Source organism: Homo sapiens, chromosome 6 (assembly GCF_000001405.40).
Source record: "Homo sapiens chromosome 6, GRCh38.p14 Primary Assembly".
Lineage (NCBI taxonomy): Eukaryota > Metazoa > Chordata > Mammalia > Primates > Hominidae > Homo > Homo sapiens.
Window position 1 is genome coordinate 42306025 of NC_000006.12, and position 15196 is coordinate 42321220.

The 15196-nt window shown below is 46.4% G+C and overlaps 1 protein-coding gene across 52 annotated transcripts in view, besides 3 other annotated features; it reads right to left on the bottom strand.

The window, feature by feature from the left end:
* The window catches only part of TRERF1 (transcriptional regulating factor 1), a 227294-nt gene that overhangs the window by 81094 nt on the left and 131004 nt on the right, over window positions 1-15196 (bottom strand). The window lies entirely within an intron of this gene.
* Window positions 9240-9907: an enhancer, noted in NCBI's record as "H3K27ac-H3K4me1 hESC enhancer chr6:42283002-42283669 (GRCh37/hg19 assembly coordinates)". NCBI's record gives its function as "activates a minimal SCP1, AML or CMV promoter by ChIP-STARR-seq in primed H9 embryonic stem cells {active_cell/tissue: H9 hESC(primed)}" and the evidence as "EXISTENCE:reporter gene assay evidence [ECO:0000049][PMID:30033119]".
* Window positions 9976-10035: an enhancer, noted in NCBI's record as "active region_24548". NCBI's record gives its function as "activates an Ori minimal core promoter by ATAC-STARR-seq in GM12878 lymphoblastoid cells {active_cell/tissue: GM12878}" and the evidence as "EXISTENCE:reporter gene assay evidence [ECO:0000049][PMID:35858748]".
* Window positions 10626-10715: an enhancer, noted in NCBI's record as "active region_24549". NCBI's record gives its function as "activates an Ori minimal core promoter by ATAC-STARR-seq in GM12878 lymphoblastoid cells {active_cell/tissue: GM12878}" and the evidence as "EXISTENCE:reporter gene assay evidence [ECO:0000049][PMID:35858748]".

A 15196-nucleotide genomic window follows, 5' to 3' on the forward strand; every position in this document is an offset into this window, starting at 1 on the left:
AGAGTCTTACTCTGTCTCCCAGGCTGGAGTGCAGTGGCGCGATCTCGGCTCACTGCAACCTCTGTCTCCCAGGTTCAAGCAATTCTCCTGCCCTAGCCTCTCGAGTAGCTGGGATTACAGGCATGCGCCACCATGCCCAGCTAATTTTTGTATTTTTAATAGAATGGAGGTTTTGCCATATTGGCCAGTCTGGTCTGGAACTCCTGACCTCAAGTGATCCACTTGCCTCAGCCTCCCAAAGTGCTGGGATTACAGGTGTGAGCCACCACGCCCGGCCAATCTCCCCCTTCTTTTGATGCCCTTCCTCTCTCTCCATGGAGGCTGAGTAAAGAATAATTTTCATGCACTGGAGGAAGGGGATCCTGCCCAGACCATGATGGGATATAGGCAGATCACTTAATCAGGCCCTCGTGTATCTGCTCATTCCAGAGCACAGAAGCTTGGGCCTTTCACACCAATATCAGAGCAGCTCAAACACTGACAGCATGTCAGGTGGACTCACCACAGGCTAACATGGGTGACAGGCTACCATCTGCTCCCCAGCCTCAGGCTGCCCACCCCTCCTTGCTCACAGCTCCAACCAGCTTGTCTTTCAAGTCCTCAGACACACCAAGCTCTTTTCTACCCCAGGGCCTTTGCACATGCCAGTCCCTCTGCCTGGGATGCCCTTTTCCCAGCTCTCCTCTCATTAGCATCTACTCATCTGTCAGGCTATAGCTTTGGGAAGATGTCTCCATCCCTCTGAAATTTAACTGGGCAACAGCATTTATCACAGTTGTAATTAATCAATTATGTGATTAACGAGTTGGTCTCCCCAGTCAGACTGTAAGCTCTATCAGGGCATGGGCTATGTCCGTTTTTTTCACCGCTGTGTCTAATGGCCTGGCACAGCAGTCAATCCTGATTACACATCAGAATCACCTGGAGCTTTAGAAACCAGGGATGCCTGGGTTTCACCTGGGCTCTTGTTGAACACCCTGTTAAACAAGAGCGTGTAAAGCTCGCCAGGTGGTTGTGATATGTGGCCAAGGCTGAGACCGCCGACTTGAAGAAGAGGACCTTGGCTTATGTCCTAGAACAATTCTGAAGCAGTGCAGGCAGTTATATTAATAGTAGGACCTTGCTCCCTTTGCTTGCATATACAATGTATCACCTAAATGTTGTGTTCCACCCTAGAGATTAATTTTGAGGAAATTCCAGAAGAAGAAAACAAAACCCTCATTGTTAAAGAGGAATACTATTCCTTTCATTAAGTGCTCCCCACACGGCCTCCTCCCCTCACACTCCTCTGTCCCTTTATTCAGGTTTATCACGTTCATCCTAAGGGCCACAGGATTAACTTGATGTGTTTCTGAAATACACTTAAATATTTGGAGTAAAATCCTTTAATTTTTAATTAAAACAGGCCCAGCTCTATATTACACAGTAGAATACAAAATTCCACATTAAATTTTATTAAAACAGGAGAGTTCAAGGCTATTTCATATTGGAACGGGCCCTCCAGGCCAGCCTCAGATGGACAAGTAGAGGAGCTTTGCAGAAACTCACCCAGGGGACACCAGGGGGTGGGTCATCTGTGCTGATCTGGCTTTCCCAGGACAAGTCAATGGCAAACTGTTCCTTTCTACTCAGTTGTGCTTACTAAAGGGGAGAGGTAAATGTATGAAAAAAAAAAAAAAAAGATCCGATCGCTATTACAACAGCACACGAAGTAACAATTCCAATTCCCTGATGGGCTTCCCCAGCCCAACAAAGGCACTGCTGCAGGGAGTCCCAGAACCTGGGAACAGTAGACTCTGACTGAACTCACTGAAAGAGGAGCTCTCATCAAAGTGGTGGTTCTCCAACTTTCAGGTCTACACGAACCATCCTGGGAACTTGTGAAGAATGAAGCTTCCCTTCACACCCACCAGGTTGGCCACAACCAAAAACACAAAATCACAAGTGTTGACCTGGAAGTGGAGACACTGGCACCCTATGCATTCCCAGTAGGGATGGAAAATGGTGTAGCCACTGTGGAGGGCAGTTCAGCTGGTTTCTCAACACATTTAAACATTGCATTACCATGTGACCCAGGAATTCTGCTTCTAGGTATATACCCCACATCACCGAAAATGGGTACTCCAACAGAAACTTGCACACAAATGTTCCTAGAAACATTATTCACAGAGCTGAAAAGGTGGAAAGAACCCAAATGTCCATCAACTGATGAGTGGATAAACAAATGTGTTATATTCATACAATGGAATATTATTCACCAATAAAAAGGAAATAAACACTAATACATGCAACAACATGGATGAACCTCGAAAACAGGGTGTTAAGTGAAAGACGTCAAACACAAAAGGTCACATAGTGTACGGTTCCTTTTATCTGGAACATCCAGAATAGGCCAAGGCATGGAAGCAGAAAGCAGGTTAGTGGTTGCAAGGGGCTGGGGAGGGCAGAATGGTGAGTGGGTACAGGGTTTCCTTCTGGGATGACAAAAATGCCTTGGAACTAGACCTAGGTGAGGTTGCACAACATTGTAAATGCAGGAAACGCCAATGACTTGTATACTTTAAAATGGCCGTGCAGCCATAAAGAAGAACGAGATCGTGTCTTTTGCAGGAACATGGGTGGAGCTGGAGGCCACTGTCCTCAGCAAGCTAACGCAGGAACAGAAAACCAAATATCCCATGTTCTTACTTATAAGTGGGAGCTAAATGATGAGAACTTATGAACACAAAGAAGGAAACAACAGACACTGAGGTCTACTTGAGGGGGGAGGGCAGGAGGAGGGAGAGGAGCAGAAAAGATTACAACTGGGTACTGGGCTTAATTCCTGGGTGATGAAATAATCTGTATAACAAACTCCCATGACATAAGTTTACCTCTGTAACAAACCTTCACATGCATCCCCGAATGTAAAATAAAAGTTAAACATTTTTTACGTGAAAAAAAAAATGACCGATGGTTAATTTTATGTTGGTGAATTTTACCTAATATATATTTTTTCTTTTTTTAAAAGAAGCTTCCTGGGCCCTACCATTAGAGACTTTAACTCATTAGGTCTGCGCTGGGCCCAGGGACCTATTTTTTAAAAGAACAACCTGGGTGACTCTGAGAGGGGTGGTCCCCAAACACAGCCTAAAAGGCAGGGTCGATTTGTGTAAACAATGCCTTTACTTTGGATGAATCCATAATGACTGATACTATTTACCTACTGAGTGCCAAGTATCTGCCAGGCACTGGGTTTGGTGTTTTTAAATGCACTATCTCAGAATCACACTGCAAGGTAGAAATGATCTCTTTTATTTTATAGATAAGGAGATGGAGGCTCAGAGAGGCGAAGTAAAGGGCACAGAGCTAACAATGGATTCAAATCAGTATCTGTCTGACTCCACAGACCATATTTTTTCTCTCTCCCTACTCTATGCCACTGGTTCTTCAACAAGCTCTTTCAGGCAGCAGGAATCTCATCTCTGTGTTATATGTGCAAAATGCTCTTTATGTCCCAGGCTTAGATCATCTTACTCCAAGGTGTGGTCTTTAGACCTGAAGCCTTAGCATCCCTGGGAATTTACAGACTCTCAGTCCTCACCTCAAGTTTGCTGAATTGGACTTTGCTATCCCCAGATAATTCATATGCACATTGAAGTGTGAGCAGCACTGGCCTTTGTAGAGCTGTGCTGTCCAATATGGCAGCTACTAGCCGTAAGTGGATATTTAAATGAATATTAATTTAAAATAAAATAAACTTAAAAATTTACTTTATTTTATTATTTTGTTTTATTTATTGAGACAGGGTCTCACTCTGTCACCCAGGCTGGAGTGCAGTGGCATGATCAGGGCTCACTGCAGCCTCAACCTCCTGGGCTCAAGTGATCCTCCCGCCTCAACCTGGGACTACAAACATGCGCCACCAGGGGTCTCCTTTAGCAGAGACAGGTTTCTGCCATGTTGCCCAGGCTAGTCTCCAACTCCTAGGCTGAAGCAATCTGCCTGTCTTGCCTCCCAAAGTGCTGGGATTACAAGCATAAGCCCCCGCACCCAGCCTAAAATTAAACTTAACTCAGCTTTTCAGTTGCACTAACTACTTTTCTTTTCTTTTTTAAGAAACGGGGCCTCACTCTGTCACCCAGGCTGGAGTGCAGTGGCTTGCTCACAGCTCACTGCAGCCTCTAACTTCTGGGCTCAGGCAATCCTCCTGCCTCGGCCTCCCAAAGTGCTAGGAGTATAGGCATGAGCCACCACGCCCCGGCCTACACATTTTAAGATGCTCAATAGCCACATGTGGCTAGTAGCTACCATATTAGACAGCACCAAATAGAACATTTCCCTCAATGCAGAGTCCTATTGGACAGGGCTCTCAGAGCAGCGTAGCTCAACCTTGGCATTTGTGACACTGTGGGTTGGATAATTCTTTGTTGTTGGTGGGGCTTTCTGTACATGGTGGAGCAGTAGTTCTCAACAGGGAGTGATTTTACTCCTCGAGGGATACTTGGCAATGTCCAGAGACATTGTTGGTTGTCACAGTTGGGGGAGTTCTTCTAGTATCTAATGGGTAGAGGCCACGGATGCTGCTAAACACCCTGGAAGGCATGGGACAGCCCCCAGCAAAGGACGATCTGGTCTAAAACGTTAGTAGGAGAAACCCTGCTCTAGTGTAATCAAGAGAACACTGCCAGTCTCAGCAGAACTGGTAGCAGGAGGCTAAGGAGGCCAAAGAGTACCCACCCCCAACCATTTGTCAAGCCCCAAGAAGCCTTCAGAACTCTGAGAAGCTACTCTCCAAGAAAGCAGGTGTCTATTTTTGCCAAAAATGCAGAACAAGAAGTTCTGGTTTCCAGAATAATCTATAAACTCATTACTAAAATGAAGTGCCTGCATTTCCAATCCCAAGGGCAAGGCAAGGAAGAAATTCCTTTTTGGCGTTGATGTTTGGAATGTGTGATAAATTCTGCATGTAAACCACAATCTGCTGTTGGTTAGGTGTAGAGATATATCACTCATTCAGTTGTGCATTCATCTATTTATTTATAAATATTTATTGAGCACCTACTATATGTTGGGTACTCTTCTAGTGTTGGAAACACAGCAGGAAACAAATAAAAGGTCCCTGCCTTTGTGGAGCAGATAGTCTAGTGGAGGAGAATAACAATATACAAGTAAGCAGGCATGTGTGCAATGTCATGGCAGGTATGATGAATGTTATGAAGGGAAATAAAGCAGGGTAAGGGTCAGAGGAGTGATGAACATGGGTGGCGCCTATTCATGGTCACCTGAAAAGGTGACATCTGGGCATAGGCCTAAATGAACTGGCTGAACCAGGTGACTCAGGGAAGGAAGAGAGTCCCAGGCAGAGGACACAGCAGCTGTGTCCTTCCACTCTTTGGTGGAATGAACTTGGTGGAGGGAGCCGGCAGGTGCGGTCAGCAAGGCAGGAGGCCAGGCTGTAGGCATGAGATCATGGAGGGGCCGGGCGCGGTGGCTCACTCCTGTAATCCCAGCACTTTGGGAGGCCGAGGTGGGTGGATCACAAGGTCAGGAGATCGAGACCATCCTGGCTAACATGATGAAACCCCGTCTCTACTAAAAATACAAAAAAAATTAGCCGGGCGTTGTGGCGGGCGTCTGTAGTCCTAGCTACTCGGGAGGCTGAGACAGGAGAATGGCGTGAACCTGGGAGGCAGAGGTTGCAGTGAGCCAAGATCGTGCCACTGCACTCCAGCCTGGGCAACTGAGCAAGACTCCGTCTCAAAAAAAAAAAAAAAAAAAAAAAAAGAGATCATGGAGGGTTGTGAGCAGAGGAGAGATGGGGTCTGATTCACTTTTCACGTGGAGAACAAACTACAAGAGGACAAGAGTGGAGAAAGCTGTTGTCGTCTTCCAAGTAAGAGAGGGTGCTGGCTTATTAATAATTCATTAATTAAACCATCAACATTAATACAAATTATCTATTGGGCCAATGCTATTACTCTTTTATTTCAGACATATCATGGGGAGACCAGGCATCGCATTCCAGCTACTTCTACAGAAAAATGCATTCTGAGTTCCATGATCAACTTGAAACCTTTTCCATCCACCTTGGTTTTAAGCTGGGTACTGTGTGGTTGGATAGAAGACAGCAGGAAAGGGAGTCAGGGATGAGGGCAGATTAACAGGAGGAAAAAAGGGCATCTCCCCTCATCATGCCCTTTTCCCCAGAGCCACCAGAGAAGAGCAGTCTGAATGGAACCTTCCTATCATACTCCTTCCAAGGTTTGTTGGGCAGCAGATAGATGAGCCCCAGCTGTTCTGCTCCAGGCTGGCTCTCCCAGAAGGATGGCACTGCAGCTGTGTCCAAAAGAGAGCTACGGAGTCTTTCTCAGAAGCGGGGAGCCCCTACTTTAGAGTTTCCGAAGATTCAAGGCAGCACTGGATCACGGAGTCAGTAGAAGTGGGGCAGAAGAATCCCCCTGTGCCGCTTACAAAACGCACAACAGGCATGTCAGCCAATCTCTCTGATCCTCGGCATTCCCCTCTGTAAAATGGAAACAACCTCCTTGGCCTCTCAGAGTGGTTATGATGGGTCAAAGCAGACAATGCTGGCGCTGGGTGTGCCGAGGTCTGGGCATCTGCACCTTCGGGAGCAGATACAGATGCTCCATCCTCCACGGGCATATGGATTTGTGCTGTACTCACATCCAGGTAATTTGGCTTTACCCATGGAAAGGGGCTTCCCTTTCATTAATTCATCGACTCCACACACATGCACTGGGTCTTAGTGCCGGGTGTGGTGTTTGGAAGAACAGTCAGAGGCAGCCCCCACTCTCCAGGAACACAAGGGCAGAGTGGGAGACAGACACGAAATAGGTTCTACCAATGTTCCTTCTCCTTCAGTGCCTGGTTGCCCAAATAGTTTTCTTGCCTTCAGACTAGAGCCACCAGCCTTTTGGGGCCTACAGATTCCCCTCATCTACCCATAGCTTGCAGCCTCGACCCTGGGGCAGTGCCCTCTGCTCATTTCCAGACTGGGAAGCAGGCCTGATTGTTTCTGCTGAAGCAGGAAAAGATGGTGAGAGAAAGGCAGGGCTGGCTGTGTAGAGAGGGGAACCAGCAGAAGTTTTGCCTTCAATAAGGCTTTCCTTCCAGCCCACACTTCCAGGACACCCACTTGTGACCCTGAGATCGCCTGGGGTTCGGCATCTCTCTGGTGCTTCCCAAGGAACGTCTTCAAGAGAAGGCTCCGGCTCTGAGTCATCTGAAGCAGAGAGGAGACCTTGTAAAAATAACTCTAAGTATGAAGCTCCTGTATTCATATTATTCACGATACAAAGAACAAAAAAGCAGGGCAGGAAGCAGAGGAGGAAAGTGTCGTTCACATCAGTTTTCTTCATATGACAAGCAGCCAGGAACTCAATTGCTAAGCCTCATCTCTCTCTCTCTGTTTCTCTCTCTTTCCTTGGAGCGATTACATAAGCTGGAAAAGGGGTCTTCTCTGCAACATCCTAACTCTCCCAAGAGTCCCTCTCCATCTGTCACCTGTAAATCTGAGCCTTCCCAGTAACGCTTACCGGGATGCAAACGTGCTCAAGTTGTGCACTCTCCTGGGATGTGGGCCCCAGAACAAGGAATTCCCTTGAAGACCCAAGGGCCTTCACTGAGCCCCAGGAGTGGGATTTCTGGCAATGTGACCATATGAGGGAGAACCTATTGGGGAGGCTGGCAGGGTTGGCCAGGTCTCTGAAGGCATATGTGGTGGGGCTTCCTTGAAAGACCTTGGATTTCAACATGTTAGGATATGTGGGCCTCAGGAACTCTCCTGGTCATATTCAGGACTTCCTGGGCTCCAAGCGGGGAGGTGCTGCAGACTCACTTCTACGTTGCCTTCTGAGAGCCATGGTCTTTATGGATCATGGAGGTAAGGACAGGGATTTTGAGACAAGGATGAGAGCCTATTAAGAGAAAAAGCAAAGGAATGAGACCGGAAGCCGGGAGAGATGAGAAATAAACAAGATCCTGGGAAACAGGGAACAGCTGGAGGTGCGGCCCTAAAGGGTTTTTTTTTTGTGCTTATCAGGCACGCCCCTTTCTGGAGAGGTGCCATAGTGGTGGTCCTGACCTCTTGTGGCTCATAACTGAAGACAAACTAATTACTTTTAGACAAATGCATGTACATATTAGGAAATGAAAACCTCCACCATGGCATGGTAAGTATAAGCTTCAGCTAAATTCAGAACCCTAGCTGATGCCAGTAAAAAGAACTATTAGCAAATTCACTGCTTTGTGCTTTGTAAACATCTCTATTCACAAGAAAACATGCTTTAGAGTATGAGTCTACCCTGATCGAACTCTTCATCAACATAAATCCCTGGTTTTACAACAAGAAGCCAAGCTCACCCGATGCTTTCAAATGTGCACAGTTAAACTAGGGCAGAGGTCCCAGCAAGCCTTGCAAAATTAAGCTCATGCATCTAAAAAAATACTGGCCGAGTGCCTCAATGCTAGGCATTGTTCTCCGTGACTGGCACGCAACAGTGAACAAAGAAGACAAAACTCCCTGCCCTCATGGAGATTTCATTTTAATAGGGAGAAACAGAAAATAAAAATTATTATAATTAAAGTGTATAGTGTATTAGATGGCTGTAGATGCTATGGGAAAAAACAAAGTAGGAAATAGTCAGGGAAGCCCTCTCTGAGAAGGTGACATCTGAGCAAATGCCTGAAGGAATAAGAACAATGAGATCTGGGGAAAGAGCATTCTAGGAGGAGGAACAGCAAGAGCCCTGTGGTGGGTACATGCCGGATGTGACTGAGGAATTAGAAGGGTGTGGCTGGGACAGTGAAAACCAGGAGGAAAGCAGTAGGAACAAGGTCAGAGATTCTAAACGTGATTTTAAAACAAAACAGAAGTATAAACTTGATGGAGCGAATAGGTTGGTCGCATAGGGTGCTTAGGAAAGGCCAAGGTAAGGAGGTGTCAGTTGAGCTGAGACCTAAATGAGCAAAGCATGAAGATGTGAGGAGAGAACGTTCACAGCAGTGGTGACAGCGAGTGCAGTGGCTCTGGCAGGGATGAGCGTGCATGTGGCAGGTGTGCAGTGGGTGGGATGAGGCAGCGTGGTAGGACGGGGTCTCCATTATGTAGGGTAGTGGTCTCCACCTGGAGTGATTTTGCCTTCCAGAGGACATTTGGCAGTGTCTAGAAACATTTCTGTGTCACGACTAGGGAAGTGCTATTGGCACCTGGTGGGCAGAGATGCTGCTAAACATCTTACAATGTGCAGGACAGTCCCTTTCAAGACAGAATTCACTAGCTCCAAATGTCAATAGCACTAAGGTTGACAAACCCTGGTGCAGGGCCTCACAAGTCACAGTAAGAAGTCTGGGTGCTCACAGAAGCACATGCCAAGGACTTTCTAATGCCTCGTGCCTGCTGGAGTGTGATCCTTACACGTGGCACATCCAGGTCTAGAGTATGGCACATTGGGATGAAAGAGAAGGGCGCTAGGATCGGCGCTTAGAGCACAGAAGCAGGGGTAGAGGCAAAGAGGCTGTGACGAGGTCACCCTAACCTAACTTGGAGCTAAGAGGGAGCTCCTGGAGTAGAGACAAAGGAGGTCAAATGAAGGGGGGCCATCGGGCTGTCTTCTAGCAGCTGATATCCTTCAAGAGACCAGGTGGGGCCCCTGGGTCAGGGTTGGGGAGAGGAACACCACCCCCCCCCCCACCCACTGCCACCCCCTAACGTCATAGTGAAGTGTCTGAGGGCTGGAGAACGCTGCAAGTCTGAGCAGTGTGGAAGGCACAGGTTGGGACCAGTGTGCAGACAGCTCAAGGCTCAAGAAGGACATCACCAGCAGAAACACAGGCAGAGGCTGAAGAGGAGGGACTTGGGTGGGGGTGCTCTCCTTTCAGGGGAGAGGACCCCCACACCTACCCTCACGGTACCTGGAAGATGCACATGAGGACCCAAGGGAGGCCTAAAAAATAAGAGGCTGTTTTGGGATGATCTCAGATTTGGTTCTTCCTGCAGAATGAGTTGTTCTCTGCTCCACTGGGGGTGGGGGCACCTGGACGTCAGGCTGCCTGGCTAATGGGTCTACACAAATGACATTTCGAGTCACAAGTTATTTAATTTCTCCGCCAAAGTCAAGAAAGTCCATGGGTCTGGGGAAGTGGCTGTGATGACCAATGACTCTGGCACGCAGTTAACCCCAAGCATGCACCTCCTCCTCCCCGCATTGCTAATCTTGATGATTCATCCAGAGAGGCTGGTCTGCCTCAGTGGAAAGAAAATCTAGGTGAGGGTCTCATTACTAAGAAATGAGAAAAATGCCTCAATGTAGAGGCAGGTCAGAACCCTTCCTGGTCACTATCCAAAGAAGCTTTTCTAACTTGGGGAGGACAGATGAAGGGGACTGCCTCATAGTGACTTTGTTCTAACAAAATTTTGGATGGCATTTTCAGGTGCCTGCTTATGTGTGCACAAGCAGGCAGACACCTTCATTAATACTCTTGAAACCACCTTTGCAAAGATTATGACAGTGACAGGAGTCTAGCATGGCTGACTCCATCTTGCCTCTAGCCTCACAAGCCAGCTGTCCTCCCTCATTCCTGGGTGTAGACCAAGCTAACCATGGGAGGAATTTAGTTTATTGTTTTAACTTTGAAGCAAGGATGATAACAGTCCCTCCCTGAAACGAACCCCCTCCTTGCTCAGGGACCAAAATCGCCTTTGTCTTGGTAATGAAAGGCCACAAGATTAGGATTATGGGAGGGGCCTGAATTCTGCTAACATGTAGGTGTAGCTAAAGGATAACCAGCCATTCCCCTCCACCGCCCCCAGCTTGCCTTTTTATAATCCCTTGCTACTCATGAGTCATGTGGCCAGAGGTCACAAGATTTGTGACTTCCCCAATTGCTCCTATAGATAACATCACTATTGTAGAACTTAAGATGGGTCTTTTGAGATGCTTTTCAGACTTTTGCATTCTGGCAACCATCTGACTCTACCTGGACCTGGGACTCATGACAACCTGTCCTGTGGCCCCCTAATGTAGAGGCTGACTCAGCACACAAGGACCATTTTCCACACCCCTACGATTTCAACCTTCACCAATCAGCAGCTCCCATTCCCCTGTCCACAAAATTATCCGTAGAACACCCTAGCCTCTGAGTTCTCTGGGAGACCAATTTGAGTAATAACTCCAGTCTTTCTGCTTGGCTGGCTCTGCCTTAAACTGTTTGTCTACTACAATACTGTGGTCTCAGTGAATTGGTTTTGTCTGTGCAGGAGGAAGGAAGAACCTGTTGGGTAATTATACCCTCACTCAGCACTAATTTCCTCCTCAGTAGTTTTTGTTTGTTTGTTTGTTTGTTTTGAGACAGAGTCTTGCTCTGTTGCCCAGGCTGGAGTGCAGTGGCATGATCATGGCTTGCTGCAGCCTCAACCTCCCAGGCTCAAGCAATCCTCCCACCTCAACCTCTCAAGAAGCTGGGACTACAGGTGCGCACCATTATCCCCGGCTAATTAAAAAATTTTTTATAGAGACAGGGTCTCATTTTGTTGCCCAGGCTGCTCTTGAACTCCTGGGCTCAAGCAAGCCTCCCGCCTTGGCCTCCTAAAGTGCTGGGATTACAAGCGTGAGCTCCCAGACCTCAATAATTTTTAAAATAACAGTCTTCTCCACATCTAAAACATGTTCACTGTAAAAATTTTAGAAAACAGATACAAAATAAAAAGAAGAAAAACTCCATCACTTGTTGAGAATTATTTTTTTTTTTGCTAAACTTTTTAAGATATAGTTGAGATTATATTGTATACATAATTTTGAATCCTGCTTATAAAATAAGCATTTTGTCATGTTGTTAAAAGTTCTAGGCTAGGCACGGTGGCTCACACCTGTAATCCCAGCACTTCAGGAGGCCGAGGCAGGCGGATCACCTGAGGTTAGGAGTTCAAGACCAGCCTGGCCAACATGGCAAAACCCCGTCTCTACTAAAAATACAAAAATTAGCTGGGCGTGGTGGCAGGCGCCTGTAATCCCAGCTACTTGGGAGGCTGAGGCAGGAGAATCGCTTGAACTTGGGAGGTGGAGGTTGTAGTAAGCCGAGATCACCCCACTACACTCTAGTCTGAGTAACAGGGCGAGACTCTGTCTCCAAAAAAAAAAAAAAGCTCTTTGTAAATACTAGTTTTAACCATTGAATAATAATCCACTCTAACGCTACAAGAAATAGAGGTCCATATTCTCCAAGGTCTTATTTCGCTGAATACAAGTAGTTTTAAACCAGCCCCCAACACTGAATACAGGAAATTTCTGAGCACTTAATAATGAGTGCCAGGCACTCTACCCCTACCATGTAGGGTGGCTGTGGGGAGGGCTAACATTGGACTGACATAGACAAAATTTCTTTCTTTTCTACAGTCTTGGGATCTCTACACTTCACTTGGTGGAGGGTCATATTCCACTGTTTTCAGTGAAACAGCCAAGACGAACCCTTCATTCAGTTAAGAGGAAGCTCCAGGCTCTAGTTAGGCACTGGAAGTAAAGGAAATGTGGGTTAGGTCCCAAGAAGCAGAGGTAATGTGGACAACTGAAAGGCTCCAGAATGGATACTCAGGGGCTGGACAACTACAGCCTGAAGGCCAATCCGCTGCCTGTTTATGTAAATAAAGCTTTATTAGAACATAGCCACACCCATTCATTTCAGTATTATCTATGGCTGCTTTCAGCTGCAACAAGCAGAGTTCAGTAGCTGCAATAGAGACCATGGCTGCAAGCCCAAAATATGTAGTACCTGGTCCTTGAAGACAACATTGTTTGATTCCTGTATTGGGAGGCCAACCATCCTCCAAAATAGATGCTCTCCCTTCTTTGGCTAAGAGTCCTCACTTAGAAGTACTCTGAAGTGTGGCCAGCCAGAGACTACATTTCCCATCTCCTCCTGCAGCAAGGTGGAACTCCCTGACCAGTTCTCTCCAATGAAATGTGGGCCAAGTAACTTGTATCGCTTTTGGGCCAAGGTGGTTAAGAAGCAGGTGAGCCTTCTCCATCTTCTGTTTCCCTTCCACCTGAATGAAGAGTCCTCATAGGCCTGTGGCAGTGTTTCTCCACCTTTTCTTCATTGTTGCCCTCCTAAGGGGACTTTTTAGACATTTTTTTTCCCTAATTACTTTCCTCCATGACATTTTCACACCACAGATATACTCTATATCTGTTTATGTACCATGTAGATGTTTGTGATTTATGCATCAAAATGTAAGATTTTTCAGCCTCCAAGATCTTTGCCCCCTTGGGCATGATACTGCCCCCATTAAAGATGCATGCTCCAGAGTATAGCAGAGTGACAGAGGCAAGGCATGTAGATCCCTAAATTACCTTGTAGAGGAAAGCCAGTTACAACCAGAAACACTTGCATTGACTGTTACAAGGGCAAGAAATAAACTTCCTTCATGTTAAACTCCTGAAATGTGGGAGATGATTACAGCAGCTAATGTTGCCCTAACCAATACAAGCTTTTAATTTGATTGTTAAAAAAAGTATGAGCCTGGCACACTGGCTCATGCCTGTGATCCCAGCATTTTGGGGGGCTGAGGCAGGAGGATCACTTGAGCCCAGGAGTTCGAAACTAGGCTGAACAACATAGGGAAACCCCATGTCTACAAAAAAATGTAAAAATTAACTGGGTGTGATGGTGTGTGCCTGTGGTCCCAGCTACCTGGGAGGCTGAGGTGGAAGGATTGCTTGAGCCTGGGAGGTCAAGGCCATGATTGTGCCACTGCACTCCAGCCTGGGTGACAGAGTGAGACTGTGTTTCAAAAAAAAAAAAAAAAAATGGTGCATTCAATAGACATATAATAATATAATGCTATATATTATATTAAATACATTATATCATTATTATTTTTTGTTTGTTTTTGTTTTGAGATGGAGTCTCACTTTGTCTCCCAGGCTGGAGTGCAGTGGTGTGATCTCAGCTCACTGCAACCTCTGCCTCCTGGGTTCAAGCAATTCTTCTGCTTCAGCCTCCCGAATAGCTGGGATTACAGACACCCATCACTATGCCCAGCTAATTTTTGTATTTTAGTAGAGATGGGGTTTCACCATGTTGGCCAGGCTGGCCTCGAACTCCTGACCTCAAATGATCCACCTGGCGGCCTCCCAAAGTACTGGGATTACAGGCATGAGCCACCGCACCCAGCCATAACTAAATTATATTATATTATTATATGTCTATTCAATCAAACTTTTAATCCTAAATATACTCCTTTAGGGTTTAGGACAGGTTTCCTAAATCCTAAAGGGGTAAATTTAGGATTAAAAGTTCCTACTTTAGGTGGTGGAGCGTTTAGCCTATTGGCTCTTACATTGACATAGGACAACAATTTAAACAGATTCAAGAAGGGTTGAGATCAATTCTGAGCACAACCTATTAAAGACGAATACGTTAACTGTATTCATTTATACCCTCTCCATTTGAACACATCACTACCAAAACAAAAGTGAAAGAATTTTTTTTTTTTTTTTTGAGACTGAGTCTCGCTCTTTTGCCCAGGCTGGAGTGCAGTGGCATGATCTTGGCTCACTGCTACCTCCTCCTCCTCCCAGGTTCAAGCAATTCTCCCTACCTCAGCCTCCTGAGTAGCAAGGATTACAGGCGCCCGCCACAACGTCCGGCTAATTTTTGTATTTTTTAGTAGAGATGGGATTTCGCCATGTTGGCGAGGCTGTCTTAAACTCCTGACCTCAGGTGATCCACCTGCCTCGGCCTCCCAAAGTGCTGGAATTACATGCGTAAGCCACCGCACCTGGCCTAATAATTTTTTTTAAAAGGCATAACTTCAACAATAAAGGGAACAGGTGAGGGCTACCCAGGACAGAGATTGGGACAACTTTGTGGAAAACAGACAGAATATGGAAGATTAGAAACTGATGATGCAAGCACAGGAAGCCTGAGCTCCAGCGCTCAAATATTATGAGATTCCATTAGCCTGGCAAAATGGCCACAGGCTCATGACTCAGAGACGCCAGAACAACGGAGGGCAGGAATCAGATAGGAGGCTGAAAAGGGGGGAATTTTATAAAATCTGAAGTCAGAAGATTTGCACCCTTCATAGGTGGCTCATGAGGCAGCCAGGTTATCTATTCTTCCAAGCCAAAAAAAAAAAAAAAGGCATTTTCTTCTCTGGAGAAACTGAACTAACCAGCCCCAACCCTGAGACCCC